At 37.6% G+C, this 22105-nt stretch overlaps 1 protein-coding gene across 8 annotated transcripts in view; it reads left to right on the top strand.

The window, feature by feature from the left end:
- ARHGAP29 (Rho GTPase activating protein 29) overlaps nt 1-19052 on the top strand; it is a 145688-nt gene extending 126636 nt beyond the window's left edge. For all 8 annotated transcript variants that reach the window (XM_047434759.1, XM_047434754.1, XM_011542439.3 and 5 more), the window contains 8 exons: nt 1360-1458; nt 2476-2615; nt 2897-3085; nt 3669-3806; nt 8000-8232; nt 9790-10105; nt 10237-10345; nt 13208-19052. In XM_047434759.1, coding sequence (XP_047290715.1) covers nt 1360-1458; nt 2476-2615; nt 2897-3085; nt 3669-3806; nt 8000-8232; nt 9790-10105; nt 10237-10345; nt 13208-14088 — 2105 coding nt within the window. In that variant the 3' untranslated portion in view covers nt 14089-19052. The remainder of the gene's footprint in view (nt 1-1359; nt 1459-2475; nt 2616-2896; nt 3086-3668; nt 3807-7999; nt 8233-9789; nt 10106-10236; nt 10346-13207) is intronic.

Raw genomic sequence — 22105 nt, 5'->3', positions numbered from 1 at the left:
TAGATAAATCTCTTATATTTAAATTTAGGAAACTATTTTCACGCAGCACTGGGTTCTTAGGCTGATTATCACCTGCCACTTTGCTGCCTTCTTTAGAACTAGCACAGTTCAAGGAACATTCTGGAAATGTGAGCCTAATATTGAGCTCAATATTTGTAATTAGCTTTGTAACAACAAACTGGTTCTAGGTAGCTCCAGAAATTATGACCCAATCTAGAGCAAGCCCCAAATTATTTAGGATCCCATAAGACTTCATGTGGTAAAGGCAAAATTTTAGAAACCACATCACCTGATAAATGGGTGAAAACCTGGGAATGCCTTGCCTGGGAAAAAGGAAAATTGGAGACCTGTCAGCTGTCTTCAAATACTGGAAGTGACAAGGGATTAAAGTTAGAGTGCTTGTTTCCTCCATTTGGGAAAAATATGACCAAGGCTGGGATTTATAGGGAGGCAGATTTCTGTTCAGTAATATAAGAAATGCATTTTACAATTAGAATAGTTATAAAATGGAGTAATACAACCTTGTGATTTATCAGTCATTGGGGGCACATTCAAAGTGAAAACTAGATAGCTACCTTTAAGCATATTGTGAAGAAAAATCCTTTGGTGAAGAGGATGTTCTTTAAAATCATTTATAAAGGCTTTTCTAACTCTGAATTTGAAACGTTTAAGGCCTTACGTTAAGGTGAATTCTTCCACTTAGATATAGGCCTGTGCAGAGGGAGTAAATAAACCTCATTCCCAGTTGAGCTGCTTCCAAACATGCTTTGATACATATGGCAGTGTCCTTTGCTGACATAGCTTGTATCCTGTGGTCTCAGCTCCCTGCCAGTATCTCTGGGCTGTTGTTCCTGGTTCCCAGTCGGCAGTCTTGCCAGTAACATAAATGTGATGTTACTGTTGGGTTGTTATATTCAAAGATTTTTGTATGTTGTAGAAAGCTTTTGGTTTAATTGTATACATTTATAACTTAATTCAGCAAACATTAATGACAACTTTACTGTTGTGCCAGCTACTCTGTCACATATTAGGTATTAGATATGAATGGAAAATATCAGCTATACTTGTGGAGTTTACAATCTCTAATACTTACCATCAGAAGTTGGCAGTAAAGTGTTATTGGACTACATGAGCCTCAGTTTTAAATTTGTTTGGGAAAGTCAGATTTGGTTAAATTTCTTTTTGTTCCCAGGAATGAGTATCAAAATTCCCTGTTACCCAGAGTATGAGAATAGAAGCAAATTTTTACATTGAAGCTAATAAAATAGTATGACGTGTTATTTCAAAAGTGTTGTCATTTCCTATTTCAAAGATTCTACAATGAATGGTCAGGTAATTGTATCCACAATTTTCTTCTAGGAGACTTTCATCGAAAACTTCCACGAACACCATCCAGTGGAACTATGTCCTCTGCAGATGATCTAGATGAAAGAGAGCCACCTTCCCCTTCAGAAACTGGTATTGTATTTACCTGAATTAAGTCCCACTAAACCAGCTCAATCAGTAGCACTGCATGATATTAGATAAATAGTATAATTTTAAAGAATCAATACTTTTTTGTGTATTAAACAAAAAAAATTCACCATGACTTAAATATATCCCAACAATTATATATAAGTATGGGTTGATAATGTATTAATCAAATGTTACAAATACAAATATAAGAATAGGCAGCAAAACTACTGGATGTAAAATGTATTGGCATGGTGCTAAAATAACAGGCTAGATATTGTGCATTTTCATAAACCTAATACTGTGACTTAGTGTTAAAAGGGTTGTGGTGCATAAGAAATTCTAAAAAGCTCCTTCAAAAGAAACAATGCAAGAAAACTAAGTAAGTGTACTTCTTGAGGACAAGGAAGTTGTGGATGTTGAAGGATAAAGTTAAATCAGTTACCTTAACGACTTGAATTAGATTCATATAAATTCATTTTGTGTTTAATGCCTACAGATACCTGGTTTGGCATCATTTCCTAAATTAATGGAATATGTGACCTCCAGTATAATATTAATATGTAATTAGCTAATATTAACTATAATTTTATAGTGAATTAAGGATAGCTTTATCTGTAATGCAGATAATGCTCACACTCTAACCTCATACAGCTATTTTTCTTTGTTTAGAGGGGCTTTTTCTAATGCCACCTATGAACACACTTCCCAGCTCTATGAAAGAGCATATTAATAACAGTGTAAATATGCTGATTCTGAAAACGTTATGTCATGTTATTATTCATAGCAGTGACTTGGTGACGATTTTTACTCATAGCTAAAATGTTTCATAAATGTGCCTTTTAAGAGATCTATAAATTAGACCTATAAATTGGATGCTAACTAGCTATTTTGATATTAGAGATTCAAAGCTTTTTATAATATATGAATGATTACAGGGTTTAAAGATTATTCAAAATATGATATCACATGGTATAATTTTTCTATCATTTTACAATTTTTGTAAATTATTTCTCTTGCAAGGACCCAATTCCCTTGGAACATTTAAGAAAACATTGATGTCAAAGGCAGCTCTCACACACAAGTTTCGCAAATTGAGATCCCCCACGAAATGTAGGGATTGTGAAGGCATTGTAGTGTTCCAAGGTGTTGAATGTGAAGAGGTAAGATCTTTGTGGAATTGTGTTGACCCTTTTATGCTTTTTGTTTTATACTTTTTTGTTTTTAATTTTACTTTTTAGGATCTTTTGCAAATATATGTTTAATAAATTGTACTACAGTACACCTTCTATAATTTTATATTTTATTTTGTTGTTAAATCTGTTTCAAATAGCGCAAGTAATACCTCTTAAACTCATTTTTGTTGTGTTACCTTCCACCTGCAGTTTGCCCAGTTGTGAATAGTTTTAAGGTTAACCAGTTTCAAACTATCATTTTCTTGTAGTGTCTCCTTGTTTGTCATCGAAAGTGTTTGGAAAATTTAGTCATTATTTGTGGTCATCAGAAACTTCCAGGAAAAATACACTTATTTGGAGCAGAATTCACACAAGTTGCAAAAAAGGAACCAGATGGTATCCCTTTTATACTCAAAATATGTGCCTCAGAGATTGAAAATAGAGCTTTGTGTCTACAGGTACATTATAACTCTTAAAATTTTAAAAAGCATAAATGCCTGTGTAACCTATTCTAATGAAAAGGAGACTTTAAAGGAAAATAATGCTCAGGGGTTTTTTTTGTTTTGTTCTGTTTCTGAGACACGGTCTCACTCTGTTGCCCAGGCTGGAGTACAGTGGCATGATCACTGCTCACTGCAGCCTTGACCTCCCAGGCTCAAGCAACCCTCCCACTTCAGCCTCCTGAGTAGCTGGGACCACAGGCACGCGCTACCACGCCTGGCTAATTAAAAAAAAAAAAATTTTTTTCTGTAGAGATGTGGTCTCCTTATGTTGCCCAGGCTGGTCTTGAACTCTAGGCTCAGGTGATCTTCCCGCCTCCACCTCCCAGGCACCTGGCCAATGAACAGTCTTTAATAACTAAATTTTTTCAGATTTCTATAGGAAATGTTACTTCATTTGGCCTTGAATAGTTTTTTTCTAAAATAATAATAAAATTTGAAATAGAGTGAAAAGATTGAAAATCAAGTATATGTAGATATCTGCATTTAGCCATTTGTACTAAAGAAGAATTTTGCAAAATTTTTTTCTTTTCTATTGAAGGGAATTTATCGTGTGTGTGGAAACAAAATAAAAACTGAAAAATTGTGTCAAGCTTTGGAAAATGGAATGCACTTGGTAGATATTTCAGAATTTAGTTCACATGATATCTGTGACGTCTTGAAATTATACCTTCGGCAGGTAAAAATTTTTACCCTTGAAACCCACCATTAAATTAAAAACAGCAAAAATATGATTTGTATTTTGCTGATAACATTTGCTACACATGTTTTTTCATTGGCATAGACGGTATAGGTATCTTGCTAATGATTAGTGCATAGGTCAGAGTATATGAAATACATGTACAATTTAAAGAAAAATAAAAACAAACTCATCTCCCATCACCCACCTTAAGAAAATAGAATATTACCGTACCTTATAAAAAACCCCCATGTTCCTCTTCCAAGTTACATCCCCCTAACTCCACCAAGGAGGTCTTTAATAATCATAACTCTCTCTCTTCTCTTAATAGTTTTAATACTTGCTATTTATTCCTAAACAATGTATTGTTAAGCTTTGGAAAATTGACTTGAAAGCATAAATCTAGCTGTGTAAGGAAATCCCAGTATCCACACAGTTATATGAAGTAAGTAAAACAGTGTCTGGATCATAGGCTGGCTTTGCCTTCGTTGATATTTTAAAATAGCCATTGTGATAGGTTAGTGGCCAAGATGATGAATGAGTCCTGGGAACATGTAATGTACTACATTTGGAGCACCTGGAAGGACTGTCCTATAAGCTGGGTACTGCACATTCTAGCAGGAATATGGTCAGGGAGTAGACTGCTCTTTTTTTTTTCTCACTGTTAAACCTGTAGTTTGCAGGAGTAGGTCCAAAGACCTACTCAGTGGGATGAAATAAATGGCTCTAGTAGCATCAAGCAGCAGCTTATGGAGGGATTGCAAGAACTTAATCAGCACATTGTCATGAGACACGTACAAAAAAAGACCTGAGCCAAGCTTAGCTGCTATTCTGTCCTCGGGTGAAAATGAAGAGATAATGTCAGAGAGAATAGTGATGATAGTCCTCAACATATCAATCTCTGCAGTTCTGTTGCTTCCAGCAGGATCCTTTTTAAAAAAAAAAATTTTTTTTAATTGACATATAATAACTGTACATATTTATAGAGTACACAGTGATGTTTTGATACATATAATGCATAATGATCAGATCAGGGTAATTAGCCCATCCATCATCTCAAGCATCATTTCTTTGTGTTGGGAACATTCATTACCCTCCTTTTAGTTATTTGAAAGTATGTAATATATTATTGTTAACTACAGTCATCTTACAGTGGTATAAAACACCAGAACTTACTCCTCCTTATCTAGCTATAATTTTGTACTGGATTTTTAAAAATATGGTAACTAGCTGCCATCCTGGGGTATCTCTTTTCCACCTTCTCCTCTTTTATGAGGAAATGCCTGTCATGTCTTCCCTGTTTTGTTTTGTTTTGTTTTGTTTTGTTTTGTTTTGTTTTATTCTCCTGTTTTGGTCATGCCCATACTTGAGCAAGGTAGAATAGGAGTAAATATTTAAAACCTTATTTATCCACGAATGTCTTTATATTCTACTCTCTTGAATGGAAATGTCATAAGTGTTGATAGTGTGGACGGTTCTAATATTTTGGACTGAAAATTATTTTTCTTCAGAAATTCAAAGGTGTTTTTTTTGTTCTCTTTGAAGCCTGAAATCCTTCTCATTTCTAACTTCTTGTATGTGGCCTATGATTTTGTCTCTGAAAGCTTGTGGAATCTTCTTTTTTTCCCATTATCCTAAAATTTTATAAGTATGTGTTTTGATGTGGGTGTATTTTATCCACTATTCAGGGCACTCCATAAGCGCTGCCAATCCTGGTTAGTCCTTTAGTTTTTGGAACTTCCCATTTTGCTGCTCATTTCCTCCCCTTTATTTTCTCTGTGCTTTCCATCTGGAACTCTTATTTGGATACTTGACAACCTGGACAGGTTCTCTAGTTCCCTTATCTTTTCTCTATCATTCATTTCTTTTTTTTTGTTTTCTTACAACACTTTCTAAGAGATTTCCTCAGCTCTATCTTTCTTCCTTGCTATTAACTATTTCATTCCTGGTATCATGTTTCAATTCCCCAGAATTGTAGTTTTTGTTCTTTTTGCAGCTTTCTTCCTTTTTTAATGACTGCCATATCTGAGGATATTTATAATTTTTTTTTAAGGATTCTTGGCTTATTCTCTAGCCTTGTCCAATAGAAATATAATGTGAGCCACATATACAGTATTAAATTTTCTAGTAGCCACATAAAGAAATATAAACAGGTGAAATTAGTTTAATATTTTACTTAAACTGAAAATATCATTTGAACATTTAATCAGTATTTTTAAATTATTAATGAAATAATTTTACCTTTTTTTGTTACTGAGTCTTTGAAATCTGCTATGTTTTGTTCATTTAAAGTACATCTCAGTTTAGACCAGCCACATTTCCAGTGCTCAGTAGCCACATGTGGCTTGTGGCCACCATATTAATAGCACAGTCCTAAACCTTTATGTTGTTGTTGTTGTTGTTGTTTTCTACTCATTTTGATTTCCGTCTCCATGACTGTCTGCTTAAAATGAAAGAGTTGAAAACTGAATCTCTTTTGAAGCTCTTGAACACAAGAAGTCTTCGAAGACCTTGAGCTTTATAGTAGGGTGATCTAGGTGGGCTGTTCGGGAAACACTTGATGCCTCTATCTCTATAGGTTTCTGTTCTTGGGGTAGTTTGATACTCCAGAGAAGGGTCTTTCCTTGCCTAGAGTGTGGTACCAGTCCTGTAAGAGCCAAGTAGGCTAAGAAGGCCACAGGATCTCTACATTTAGAATGGCATGTGTAGTCCACTAAATCCCCATTTTCAGATAGTTGCCCGTCTGTCCTTTGTGTTTGACATTGCCCATCCAGAGACTCTCTGTTTTATACTGCCCGGAGAAGAAACCTTGAGACTTCTCGGGAAGAGGCTGCTCAGAAGCGTGAAGTGGCAACAGGGATCTACAGATCTAAGCCTTCTCAGATAGCTCCAGCAGAATCAGAAGACCTAGTGCTGACAGTCCCTGAGTCTCCTTAGGATTCTGTCAGTCATGTTGGTTCACAGTTTGAGATTTCAGCTTTATCAGAGCTGCTAAGTCAGTACTTGTTCATTTGCTCTTCAACTCTTCAGCTTATGAAGTAATGCTTTTGTCTCCTCTCCTATTCTCTCAGTCCTGTGGGCTTACTGTATTTTAGTGGGATTGCAGGAAAAGAAATTGGGTATAATTGTTGGATTTACCATGTTAGCCCAGGAAACTACTGGTATATCTTTAATCACATTTTACAGGACTCTCAGCTGAAAAATGGAGGCCAAATACCTTTGAATGACTATAAATCTCATAATGAATCATCCTTTATTTCTTCTAGCCAGGCAAGGAGAGGAAATGAATAGGGTCCAATACTATCAGCTCTCATTCTGTCTCAGGAATATTATGTGACCGAGACTTTCATGTGGGAAACCATGTTCCATTCTTAAAACAATGTTAGAGAGTAGACTTCATGCTACTCATTTATTGTGCAGGAAATCTGCAGCTCCAAGAGGTTAAGTGACTTCCTTCAGATCCCAGAGTGGTGTAGGTAGAAATTGATCTCAAGGCTACCCCTCTCTAGGACCAGCAGAGGAAACCAGAGAAAGGGGCACCTACCTTCTGACTCACCACAGATAAAATAGGACATCAGGTAGTAGTCAGAGGTACCCTGTGTTTCATCACAGAGCAAGCGGAAACATTGAAATTCATTATGACACTGGGCAGATCAAAATGGCATGCCCTTTGTTAGTTTGAGAAGGTACTTTTTCTTTTGACCTATTTATGGCAATTCAAGGTGTATTAAAAAATTAGATAAATAAAATGTTAACAGTGTCTTCTTGCTGTTTCTCTCATATCAAGAAAATTCAGTTTATTCACCTTTTTAACTAATTTGACTTATTTTGTGCATTATCCTGGGTTTTATTTCAATAAAAGAGTTGAAGATCATACTAACTTTGGGGGAGTCGTGAATGTGATTGCTATAGGATATATACCAGACTTGTAAAATTCCATCATGCAGCTTTAGGTTTAGTTTTACTGATTATCAGTTAAGTTGTTTTTAATACAGATAACAATTTATGATGATGATTCTAGGTTTACTTTATAGACCACATCTGTAGCAAACATTTACATTACTAAATGTGGATTGACTTTAAATATTCTTAATGTAAAGGGACATGCTAAATCACTCTGTAACTGTTAGTAATAGTTGATTATTAACAGAAAAAAATAGAATGCTTACCCCAATGTAATTTTATTTCTTTAGCTCCCAGAACCATTTATTTTATTTCGATTGTACAAGGAATTTATAGACCTTGCAAAAGAGATCCAACATGTAAATGAAGAACAAGAGACAAAAAAGAATAGTCTTGAAGACAAAAAATGGCCAAATATGTGTATAGAAATAAACCGAATTCTTCTAAAAAGCAAAGACCTTCTAAGACAATTGCCAGCATCAAATTTTAACAGTCTTCATTTCCTTATAGTACATCTAAAGCGGTAAGAATTTTATATAACTAGAACATTTATTAATGGGCAATTGATTTGTTTTTTGTTTTTAATTGTGGTAAAATCCACATAACAAAATTTACTTTCTTAGCCATTCTTTTTTTTTTTTTTTTTTTTTTTTTTGAGACAGAGTCTCGCTCTGTCACCCAGGCTGGGGTGCAGCAGCACAATCTCGGCTCTCTGCAGCCTCGCCTCCTGGGTTCAAGCAATTCTTCTGCCTCAGCCTCCCAAGTAGCTGGGAGTACAGGTGCATGCCACCATGCCCAGCTAATTTTTGTATTTTTAGTAGAGATGGGGTTTCAACATATTGGCCAGACTGGTCTCGAACTCCTGACCTCATGATCCGCCCACCTCAGCCTCCCAAAGTGCTGGGATTACAGGCGTGAGCCACCGCGCCTGGCACTTCTTAGCCATTCTTAAGTGTTAAGTGTGTTCATATTGTTGCAGTGTTACTTTTAAAATGAACATTTCATTTCCAATCTGTGTAAGGGAAAGGGAGACATTGAAGATATATGTACATGCAGCCAACATAGTTCCCTCAGATGCCTCCTGTGTGCCAGGCTCTGGCTGGCTAAACAAGGATGAAAACATAGGGTTTCAGCCATCTGTTGGTCTCATCAGCTGTGGGGACAGATCTGCAGACAAATAGAGTACAGCATCATTGTTCTAACAGCTATGCACAGCATGCAGAGGAAGATTGTGTGGTGCAGGCATAAATCAGAGGAGATAGCCCTTGAATCAGACTTACAGAACCAAGTTGTATCTTGGTGGGCAAAATTACACAGAAGAGCATTCCAGGCACAAAGTCACAGACATGGAGACATGAGCTCATTGTGCATCTGAGAAATATAAGTGAATTGGTTAGGCTGCAATACAGCAAGCAGTAGCAGAAACTGAGCCAGGTAGAGGCCTGATAAAGTCTTGCATGCCTGGCAGTCTTGCATGCGCTGACCATCTTCCTTCAGTACCCACTAAAGAATTTTGAGCTAGGAATTTGACAGGCTCAGATTTGCCTTTTAGATATTTCTGGCAGCAATATGGAAACTAAGTTGGAGAGGAGGCCTTTATTACAATTCAGATCTCCTTGAATAATCATAGAAATAAAAGGTGGTAAGAGCTTGAAGTGAGGCCAGAGGAGTGGGAATGGTGTTGGAACTGAGATCTTCAGAAGGGAGAATCATCTAGACTTGGAGATGGGTAGTGAGACACCTGACAATGATGTTTAAGTTCCCAGTATAAGGACTTGGGAGGATATACCATATACTGAGATGGGAGCAGTTTTTAGGGGTATTTTTTCTTTCTGCTGGTAAAACTATAGTAGTTCCTTCTACTTAACTTGAAATTTATTCCAATACTGTGAAACTGTGAAACTCTATTTGGCATGTGGTCAATATTTTAATCAAATAAATATAACCTTTTCCTAGACTTTTTCCCCCTAGTATTTTTGTGCAGCTCATTTTCCCTCCACCCTCTCTATTCCATAGTAAACTACAGTCAAGGAACTCTAATAGGAAAATCTCATACAACTTTATGTGTTCTACTTTGCAGGGTAGTAGATCATGCAGAAGAAAACAAGATGAACTCCAAAAACTTGGGGGTGATATTTGGACCAAGTCTCATTAGGCCAAGGCCCACAACTGCTCCTATCACCATCTCCTCCCTTGCAGAGTATTCAAATCAAGCACGCTTGGTAGAGTTTCTCATTACTTACTCACAGAAGATCTTCGATGGGTCCCTACAACCACAAGATGTTATGTGTAGCATAGGTGTTGTTGATCAAGGCTGTTTTCCAAAGCCTCTGTTATCACCAGAAGAAAGAGACATTGAACGTTCCATGAAGTCACTATTTTTTTCTTCAAAGGAAGTGAGTTTGACCTTTATAGAATTATATTAGAACTTTGTAATATTTATGTTAATAAGTTAAAGATCTTTGAACTGTTTATTTTGAGGTTATGTTTTACTTCTTCCATTTTAAAAATTATCTTGCATCAACAGGATATCCATACTTCAGAGAGTGAAAGCAAAATTTTTGAACGAGCTACATCATTTGAGGAATCAGAACGCAAGCAAAATGCGTTAGGAAAATGTGATGCATGTCTCAGTGGTGAGTAGCCATGTAAAAAAAAAATATGTTTGCTGGCTTAAAATTTTACCAGTAGAACCGTGATTAAAACCAAGGTGAGGGGCAATGAGGGAAGCCAGAGAATGAAGCTTTATTAGTTAACAAATCTTGGCTAGCCATTGAGAAAGTTGCCTTTTAGTGTATCTTGCATTTAAATGAATGTCATTCTTCATAAAAGTCTTTCTTATAATAAGACATCTTGGAGTTTATAATGTTTTTTGTGTTCCTTCTGAATTTTGTTTTTGTTTTTGAGTTTTGCCATCAGCTAAAATCAAGGTAGAAATGTGTTGAGCAATGTGATATTCGTTAGTATCTTCCAGTTCCGTAGTTCAGTGCATTGAGCTAACTGCTCATACAGAGTCAACTAGACTCCTGAAATTCAAAAACTTTAGAGTCCTACTTTTTTTTTGACATGCTTTTTACCTGTGGCCTACATTTAACCTATTAAACACAGAGATGTGTATGTCTTTTTTCTTTCCTTGACTGCGATCATTTTATTCACTTATTTTCTCTTTATAATATTAGTTGCTGTCATTGCTAGTTGTTAAGCTGGTGGAAAAGCTTCCATTTGTATTGTCATTTCTACATTGTTATAGCTAAATTCCAGTTTTTTACATTGCAGCCATATATGTTAAATTTAATGTGTAATCAAGTATCAGTGATCATAGGGTCTAAAAAGGAAAGGAGGGCCGGGCATGGTGGCTCACGCCTGTAATCCCAGCACTTTGAGAGGCCAAGGCGGGCAGATCACCTGAGGTCAGGAGTTTGAGACCAGCTTGGCCAACATGGTGAAACCCCGCCTACTAAAAGTACAAAAAATTAGCCAGGTGTGGTGGTGGGCGCCTGTAATCCCAGCTACTCGGGAGGCTAAGGCAGGAGAATCACTTGAACCCGAGAAGCAGAGGTTGCAGTGAGGCGAGAACGTGCCATTGCACTCCAGCCAGGGTGACAAGAGAAACTCCATCTCAAAGAAAAAAAAAAGGAATGGAACTAACATTCACCAGGTACCTGCCTGTTCTGTGCTAAGCACTGTGCTTATTTGTTTGATTCTATTTGATCTTCATAATAGTTCTGTGCTATAAAGTAAATAGCATTATCCTCATTCAACCCATAACTAACCGTCTGAAAGAGACTAAGTAATGCCAAAGGTTGTTCTCTTAATACATTTGAACCCAGTTCTGATTACTAAACCTAACCTTTGTGGCTATCCCATGAAGCTCTTAGGAACAGTAATAATAATAAATGTCACTTTCCAGTGTTTATTACATACAAGATAATTTTAAGCACTTTTCCTAGTAGATCATTTAGATCACACAGCAACATAGATACACATAGGAGTCTTATTTCGCAGATGAAGACACATAGGACAGTGATATTGCCTAGCCCAGTGCAGAAGTGGCAGGCAGGGCTGAGCCAGGACCCAGGCAACTGTGCTTCAGAGTCTGTGCTCTTCTCCATTATGCTCTAAGTTTTTCCCTCAGAAATTTAAGAATATATGTTGGTGCCTAGAGTCCAATTGCAAGGAACCAGGTCCCTTAGAATGCTCTATAAATGTGTGGAGGACCTGGGAAAGCAAATCAAAAGAGCCTTGGGCCAGGTGTGGTGGCTCACACCTGTAATCCTGGCACTTTGGGAGTCTGAGGTGTGCGGATCTTGAAGCCAGGAGTTCAGGACCAGCCTGGCCAACATGGTGAAACCCTGTCTCTATTAAAAATACAAAAATTATCTGGGCATGGTAGCAGGCACCTGTAATCTCAGCTACTCAGGAGGGTGAGGCAAGAGAATCACCTGAACCCAGGAGGCAGAGGTTGCAGTGAGCCAAGATAATGCCACTGCACTCCAGCCTGGGTGACAGAGTGAGACTCTGTCTCAAAAAACAAAAACAAAACAAAACAATAAAAGAGCCTTGGAACCCAGGGAAGAGAGGCCAGCAGTCCCAGGTGTGGAAGAAGTTCAGATGAGACGATGACCAAAAAGTGACTCTGGTGGGCACCTGTCTGCAAACCACTGCCTAAGAGATGTGGGTGAAGGACTGGGTGGCAGAGAAAGGATTGCATGCTGTGCTTGGGGCCGACTGTAGCTTAAAGTCAGGATGGCGTCAAGGCACAGAGTTGGTGGATGTGTTTCAGCAGTGAACAGAAAAGCAGGAGAATGGAGGGCTGGAACATTCCTGGAATTGGAATTTTTTAGGATAGATGCAGGAACTGAGGCTTCTAAGTGAGAAAACATGGACTGTGGGTTCGGACTATAGAAAGAAAATCCGGGAGCAGGTGGGGAAAATGGCACTTTTTAACTTAAAAGCATTCAGCCTTCATTTGACAGAATGGATTTTATGCTTTATTAGTTGATCAGATATGGAGAGCATCTAAGGCATCTAATATCATATGCTCTCACTGGGTTGAGTGTAACTGAAAAGCAGATTGAGTGAGTTGGCAAAATCCTTGGGATTCAGGGCACACTTACATCTGGTTGGTGTGTAAATTAGTGTCACTTTTCTGAGGTTAATTTTCCAATGTCTGCCTATTGAAATTGTGATAGTCTTTTGACCCAGAAAGTACTTGTTCATGCACAGCACTTAAAAAGAAGTTACTCAGCAAGTGTTTTTTTTGTGTTTTGTAGCTGTTCATGTTGATTTAAATGAGTAAAAAATTTGAACTTTTAAATTCAATATACACCTTTAATACTGTGCAAATGTTTAACTCCTCCACATAGGTAACTGAGAATATTATTTTGGAAAAAATATGTAAGACTCATATTGTCTTGATAGAGTGTTCATCTCTAACTCATTCAAACTCTCTTATTAACCATGTGCCACAAACTTAAATAGATTTCTTTCATTTTCAGACAAAGCACAGTTGCTTCTAGACCAAGAGGCTGAATCAGCATCCCAAAAGATAGAAGATGGTAAAACCCCTAAGCCACTTTCTCTGAAATCTGATAGGTCAACAAACAATGTGGAGAGGCATACTCCAAGGACCAAGATTAGACCTGTAAGTTTGCCTGTAGATAGACTACTTCTTGCAAGTCCTCCTAATGAGAGAAATGGCAGAAATATGGGAAATGTAAATTTAGACAAGTTTTGCAAGAATCCTGCCTTTGAAGGAGTTAATAGAAAAGACGCTGCTACTACTGTTTGTTCCAAATTTAATGGCTTTGACCAGCAAACTCTACAGAAAATTCAGGACAAACAGTATGAACAAAACAGCCTAACTGCCAAGACTACAATGATCATGCCCAGTGCACTCCAGGAAAAAGGAGTGACAACAAGCCTCCAGATTAGTGGGGACCATTCTATCAATGCCACTCAACCCAGTAAGCCATATGCAGAGCCAGTCAGGTCAGTGAGAGAGGCATCTGAGAGACGGTCTTCAGATTCCTACCCTCTCGCTCCTGTCAGAGCACCCAGAACACTGCAGCCTCAACATTGGACAACATTTTATAAACCACATGCTCCCATCATCAGTATCAGGGGGAATGAGGAGAAGCCAGCTTCACCCTCAGCAGCAGTGCCTCCTGGCACAGATCACGATCCCCACGGTCTCGTGGTGAAGTCAATGCCAGACCCAGACAAAGCATCAGCTTGTCCTGGGCAAGCAACTGGTCAACCTAAAGAAGACTCTGAGGAGCTTGGCTTGCCTGATGTGAATCCAATGTGTCAGAGACCAAGGCTAAAACGAATGCAACAGTTTGAAGACCTCGAAGGTGAAATTCCACAATTTGTGTAGGGATGTCAAATTTCAGGGTTTTTTTGTTGTTGTTGTGTTATTTTGTGGTATTGTGCTTGTTTTGTGAAAGAATGTTTTGACAGGGCCTCTTTTGTATAGGACTGCCAAATCATGGGTTTTGCCTTTTGTTGTTGTATTTATCCTCTGTTGGTAATACTGAATGGTAGAATGTTTTGATAGGGTCACATTTGTGCCTCACTGGAATTATCTTTAAATTCTGTATTTTTAAAGTTGTGAATAAGATAGGTGGATTCGTATTTTTTAAAGTTCAGTTGACTTTCCCCACCAAATGGTCCATTTGAATGCATCCCTAATATATGATATAGTCTCAACTAATAGGTGCAATTTGGGAAAATCAGGTTTATTTTTTGGAGTGGAACTGTTATAAGTGCTTATTTATAAAAGGAATGTTTCTGAATGCAAGTGCCTAAAAAGATCTTTGTTGGTATGCATATGTTTTGTCACACAATTTTATAGTGCATCTTTCACCATTTGTGCTTTTTTAAGATACGTATGTAAGCTCTTATTTTTCAATTGGCAATTCAGTTAATTTTTAAATGTTTACATAATGGCCAGAAGGCTTGCAAATCTGTATTTAATTGCATTTTAATTAATTGCCAGTTTTTACATGTGATAGTCAGTTGTACAAAGAAAATGCACTTAAACCTGTTTCTAAATTATATATTCAGTTATATTATATTTGGCTTTAGATGGTTTTAATACATTTGATAGTTTTTCACCCCTTGGCTTTATTTTATATAAACTTTTGTTTTTCAGCAGTTCTGAACTTTTTAGTATTTTATAAATGGTCCAAAAAATGCCTGTTTCAGAAGTTTTTGAATTCAGTGCATTTCCTCTTGATTTGTCTGGGTTAAAACCATTCCTTTTGTATGAAATGTTTTGACTTAGGAATCATTTTATGTACTTGTTCTACCTGGATTGTCAACAACTGAAAGTACATATTTCATCCAAATCAAGCTAAAATTTATTTAAGTTGATTCTGAGAGTACAGGTCAGTAAGCCTCATTATTTGGAATTTGAGAGAAGGTATAGGTGATCGGATCTGTTTCATTTATAAAAGGTCCAGTTTTTAGGACTAGTACATTCCTGTTATTTTCTGGGTTTTATCATTTTGCCTAAAATAGGATATAAAAGGGACAAAAAATAAGTAGACTGTTTTTATGTGTGAATTATATTTCTACTAAATGTTTTTGTATGACTGTGTTATACTTGATAATATATATATATATATATATCAACTTGTTAAATTATTTCATGTTCCCGTGGCTTCTTTTCAGTTGTTGCCTATTACAGTATGAGAGTTTAAGGTTATTAACCATTGGCTTAGAAGTCAACACCTAGGATCATACATCCGTTGACTACAATGTGGAATGAATTTTATGGAAACCTGTTTTATAGTTCTATGTGATGTAAAGGTCTAGGGAGCAATAACCAGCCCTTTTTTTTCTGAAGGCTTGTTTTTAGTCCTCATTGTACAAAATATAAAATAATCATATTGCTATGAATACCTAAAAAGAAAATTAGAGCCCATGTGTATTGAGCCTTCTCTGTGTGCCAGGAACTTTGCCAAGGTGCTACATAGATTATTTTATTTCAAGTTCACAGCAACCTATAATGGGTGGGTAAGCATGTTATTATTTCTGTGTTACAGATAAGGAAACTAAGGCTTAGTTAAATGACTTGCTTCAGTGTTCCACAGGTGTAACAGGTGGAGTCAAATCTCAAACATAGGGCTGTCAGATTTTGATGGTTAGTGCTCTTAATGACTGTGATTACTAAATAATATCTGGTAGTTTTTAACAATAGAAAATGCAACTTTAAAAAATTTTTATTGTGGTAAAATACACATAACATTTACCATTTTTAAGTATATTGTTTGAACCATTTTTAAGCATATAGTTCAGTGGCATTAAGTATATTCACATTGTTTTGCAACCATGAGCACCTATTCATCTCCAGAACATTATCATCATCCTATACTAAAACTTAGAAAATGTACTTTTAAACTTCTTCAGTTCTCTTTTAATATATGGAGCCCACCCAAAGGTTATATCATGTAATAAACTCATTTCTCTGTTTTCCCTCACAGCTTAAAAATGAGAATTTCACTTTTGGGTCCTTTCTGCCTTTAGGGCTCCCTGGCACTTTGTCCAGCGTAGAGCCTTAAGCCTCTAGATGCTTTCTAGTTTCCTGGGGCCCTGAGGCAAGTATCTCTTGAGAAGAGGTTGCTATTTCTAGAGGATCCACAGTGTGCACTGTGTTGTGCTATCTAATAGTGTGGTGGAAATCATTTATCCAGAAGTTGTTTTTTGCAACATGGAAAGATACGTGACCAAAAGGAAAGGGCAACAGCAGGAGCCCTGTTAGTGCTGCCAGAACACCAGGAAGCCTTGTGGGAGGCGTATTGTCCAAGATGATGCGTATTGTCCAAACGACTCAGAAGAAGTCATTTCTGAAGGGTTGATCATAACTTCCCTAGCCATGTTTTACCTACAGAGAACTTAGTTAGAATTTATGAGTACAGTATGTTAAATTACTTTTAGTGTACCTTAGGCAGTGTATTTGTTTTGATACAGAGACAAAGACTATATGATCCCTGAGACTTGTTGCCTAGTGAACTCACAAGCAGATAGAATTGTACCTCAGTTATTTGGGTGATTTAAAGATGGTACTATGGCTACACTATTCCCAGCTATCGTTGTGTTACAGTATTTATACAACTGGAAACATCTCTCTAAATGACAACCATTGTATATTGTTAAATAACTTATAGTCAGTGGAATTCTGTGGGTTTTTCTTTCCTACAGGCAGGAAATTATGGTGATGTGTTGATATGATTATATATGTAGACTATTCAGTTAACATCTAGGAGTTAGCAAATTTGCTACATTCACAATCAGTATGTAAGTCAGTTGTATTCCTAGATATCAGCAACTAACAGAAATGGAAGTTTTTAGAAAGATCTCTTCAATATCATTAAAAAATACAAAATACTCTACCTAAGAATAAGTCTAACAAAAGATGTACAAGATCTTGATGGAGAAAATGTTAGACCATGTCAGGAAGCATTTAAGGAGATCTTAAATAAATGTAGTACTCCATAATGTACACGAATTAGAAGACTCAGTCGTGTAAAGATGTTCATTTACATTTGTAGATTCAATGTAATCCCAACCAAAATATTTTTTGCATTATTACCTCTATCTACTGTGTGTTTCCTTAAGACAAGGGCATTCCTACGTAACCATAGTACAACCATCAAACTTAGGAGATTGACATTGACATCATGATATCTAATCCATAGACCACATTCAATCTGCTGATTTTGATTGCCTCAGTAATGTTCCTGTGTTTCAGCATCCCAATCCAGGACCACATAGTGCATTTAGTTGCCCTATCTCTTGTTTCATTCAGTCCAGAACATCTTTTCAGACTTGTCTTTGACCTTGACACTTGAGGAGGATTGGCCAGTTTGTAGAAAGTTCCTCAGTTTTGGTTTATCATTAGATAAGACCCATAAGGTTTAGGATAGACATTTTTGTCCAATACTACAGAAATGATGCTCTATACTCAAATGTGTCATGCCAGGATGCACACAATGTCAATTTGTCTTATACCTGATAGTATTAATTTTGGTCACTTGGTTCAGATAGTATATACCAGGTTTCTCCATTGTAAAATTAGAATTAGGAAGTAATTTGTGAGGAGATTCTTAAAGATTGTAAATGTATTGTTTCTCATCGAATTGTCACGGGCTAGTCTATTGACAATTCTTGACTGAACCAATTACTATTTTGGTTGTCAAATGGTGAGTCCGTGGCTTCTGCCTTGGTTGGCATCCTACTACTGTAAGGAAGAGCTCTTCCTTCTCTATTCCTTCATTCACTTAAATCAGTATAGATTCATGAATGCCTGCTTTATTCAGTGACAGTGTATTATTGTCACTTATTTTCATGCTGAAATTTTCCCCGATTTGGTTTTTGGGAGTCTCTTCAAGCTGGCTTCTGTGTTCCTTAGAGATGCCTCATTGCTTTTTCCCCTCTTATTTTTTTTACGAGCTCATCTTACACTTTTTCCTACTCCCTACCCCAAGTCTAGAATTAGCCCTTTTTTCCAAGGAGCCCTGGTTTCTTTAAATGGGAAATGGTATATGGAAATGAAGACCTGAGAAAGGCTCACTGTCTTATTGGTGAACAGCTCAAAGGAAAACGTGTGTCTACACACATTCAAGAATAGTCACCTACTTCTATATCTATTTATATACATACGTATTGAAAACTTTGAGTTCACATTGACACCTTCAATTCAATCCTTTGAGGTTAATCTAGTCTCCCTTTCCATCTTTGTAACTTCCTTCTCTCATAGAAACCTGACTCCCATAATCCTAAATAATTTGTTCATTCTTCCTCCCTCCCTCAACCTCTTGACATGCCAGCTGCTGTCTCATCACACCCAGTCCCAAATATGCCAAATAAATCCGCAGTCATAGCAGCGCTGGTCCTGACCACACCAATCCCTAACATCCTCCCCAGCCTGGAGCCTGGACCATGGCAGCTGAATCTTTGACCCCAGTGATGTCAGTCCTGAGCACACCATTGGAATCCTAGGCTCCTGTCATCTGGCTGGAAGAGAGACAAATTCACAACCTTTTGATAATGAGCAATTATTGAATACTCACTGAATTTATCAGAGAAAGTTTAAAAGTGTACGATTATACATATTTACCAGGAATGTTTAAACATAGACATTTATGAAATTTATAGAAAATATTGAATTGTGGTTCTCACTTTTTGGTCTTGGCTGTAACAATTTTTAAATATTAATACTTCCTACAATAACTGTATCATGCTATTTTTAAGTGTCCTCACACTCAACCAATCTACTCTGCATCCATAAAATAAGCATGCAGTTCAGAAAATAGATTAAACGACTAATTGGCTATGCTTCTGAGTTACAAGTTTTATTTGAGTTCATCTTCAGCTTTAAACAATTAACAAAAAGCTGTACATGACATGAAAACCTGTCTCAGATTTCTGGATGCAGTCATGCCCATTCGTTACAGGATATTGTAAGTCTTCCTTTTATAGTGTTGACAGTACTGGAAATGAGATGAATAGTGACCGTTACCAATGAGGCATTGCTCATTGATAAGTGAATACAGCACTGAAATTTAAAAATCAGGCCGGGCATAGTGGTTCATGCCTGTAATCCCAGCACTTTGGGAGGTCAAGGCGGGTGGATCACGAGGTCAGGAGTTCAAGACCAGCCTGACCAACATGGTGAAACCCCGTCTCTACTAAATATACAAAAATTAGCCAGGCGTAGTAGTGTGTGCCTGTAATCCCAGCTATTCAGGAGGCTGAGGCAGGAGAATTGCTTGAACTTGGGAGGCAGAGGTTGCAGTGAGCCGAGATCACACCACTGCACTCCAGCCTGGGTGACAGAGTGAGACTCTGTCTCAAAAAAAAAAAAAAAAAAAAAAGATCGGGATGACTATAACACAGCCTGACTATAAGAATGGCAAGATCTTATTTACAGTTGTAGACACAGACCTGACACACAGTAGTTGCCATCTGCCAAATTCTCTGTAGATCATTTTATACCAGAAATTTGCTTTTTGAGATCTACTGCCAGCAAAATAAATCTTCTGTATCAATTATTTTAATCAAAGTTGTAAGAGTTCATCTAGTAGTTGCCAAAAAATGAGTAGAATGTGTTGTGATTCAACACAGGAGACTAGGACGGTGAACCAAGGTCTACATATTCTCCATCTCCAAGTATAGATACATAAGTCTCATGATTAAGATTCAATGAGAGTTTTAAATGATTTTTTTGTTTTAAAACTGAGTCATAAATGCAGCAGTGTGTACATATATATGTATCATTTAAAGAATGATTATAAAACGAATTCCCATTTGCCCCAACACCCTCATCAGGATGTTAAGGAACCACCAGGATGCCCCTTCCTGATCACATGCCTGTCACTTCTCACAGCAGGTGTAACCACTATCTTGAATTTTATGTTAATCCTTCCTTGGCTTTAAAACAAAAAAAGCTACCTATACAATTGTAACTATAGTTTATTTTCATTTTTTAAAAAACTAAAGTATTTTACTGGGTTTATACTACAATGTATTAATCCCACTGTTGATGGGCATTTAGGTTGCTTTCAGGTTTTCTTCCTACTATGAACAATGTTACATTGAAAACTTAATCTATTTTTCCCTTCATTCACTTTTTTTGTTTGTTTTTTGTTTTTTGTTCTTGACACGAAGTCTTGCTGTGTCACCCAGGCTGGAGTGCAGTTGCGCTATCTCGGCTCACTGCAACCTCTGCCTTCCCGGTTCAAGCGATTCTCTTGCCTCAGCCTCCCGAGTACCTGGGATTACAGGTGAACGCAACCACACCCACTAATTTTTGTATTTTTAGTAGAGACAAGGTTTCACCATGTTGGCCAGGTTGGTCTCGAACTACTCACTTTGAGTGGGCTGCCTGCCTCGGCCTCCCAAAGTGCTGGGATTACAGGTGTGAGTCACGACACCTGGCCCTCCATTCACTTTTTTAAACAACAACAGCAACAAATATGCGTTGTGATGATCATCTCATTTAATCTTTACTTAGGCAGGTGTGATGGTTAATACTGTCAACTTTATTAGATTGAAGGTTACAAAGTATTGATCCTGGGTGTGTCTGTGAGGGTGTTGCCAAAGGAGGTTAACATTGGACTCAGTGGGCTGGGGAAAGGCAGACCCACCCTTAATCTGAGTGGACACCATCTAATCAGCTGCCAGCGAAAATAAAGCAGGCAGAAAAATGAAAAAGATAGACTGGCCTAGCCTCCCAGCCTACATCTTTGTCCCATGCTGGATGCTTCCTGCCCTTGAAAATTGGACTCCAGGTTCTTCAGTTTTGGGACTTGGACTGGCTCTCCTTCCTCCTCAGCCTGCAGACATCCTATTGTGGGACCTTGTGTTTGTGTAAGTTCATACTTAATAAACTCTCCATATATTTGTGTGTGTGTGTGTGTGTGTGTGCGTGTCCTATTCTGTCCCTCTAGAGAACCCTGACTAATACAGATTTTGGTATTGGGAGTGGTTCTAGAGGAACAGAATATTAAGGATGGAGTTCTTTCATTGGTTTGGGGTTTCTGGAGTTGGCTGCTTAATATGATTAGAACCCAAAATGCTAAGGACTCTACTTCTAATAGTATGGAGAACACTGATAGTCCTTGGTGTGAACTGTTTAGAGAGTTATGCAAAATAAATGCATTTGACCCTCCTGATTCATTACTCGTGAGAGTCAAGTTTAGTGACTCTATGCATAATACCTTTCACCATATGTGGAGAACCAAGGAACATAATGAAGCTGGTTGGTTGTTCCTATGTTCAGTGGACAAAGTGATGAAAGAAAATTATGAACTCAGGGATTCTGTCTCCCAGCTTCAGAAACAGATAGCCTCAAATCTGCTAAGACTGCCCTGAGTGAGAATCTTATCTCCTGAACAGAAAGAGCTGAAATTGTGGAAAAACAAACACAAGCTCTTATCATGTGAGTGGCTGACTTGTAACAAAAGATGCATGCACCAGGTGTTTACTGTTAAAGTGAGGGCATCTACTGGAAAAGAATGGGACCCTGAAACTTGGAATGGGGACATGTGGGACTGCCAGATCCCCCTGATGAAACTAGGGACACTGAGTTGTGGAATAGATTTGTAAGGGCAGCACCTGCATCTTTGAAGAGCCCTGTAATTGCTGTAATTGCTCTTCTCTGTGTGTCAGATCTAATGATGGGAACTGCAGTCACTCAACTACAAAATTTAAATACAATGGGAATAATTGGATCCCGAGGTAGCGGGGGCCAAGTGGTGACACTCAACCATCAAAGGCAAGGTGGGCGTAGTTACCATAACGGATAGCAGAGGCAAAGCGACAATCAGAATAGTCTGATGTGTCTAGAGCTCTGGCCTTGGCTAATTAATCATGGTGTTCCTAGAAAT

The sequence above is a fragment of the Homo sapiens genome, chromosome 1 (assembly GCF_000001405.40).
Source record: "Homo sapiens chromosome 1, GRCh38.p14 Primary Assembly".
Lineage (NCBI taxonomy): Eukaryota > Metazoa > Chordata > Mammalia > Primates > Hominidae > Homo > Homo sapiens.
Note: the sequence above shows the minus strand (reverse complement) of the source record. Positions and strands in the feature narration are given on the sequence as shown.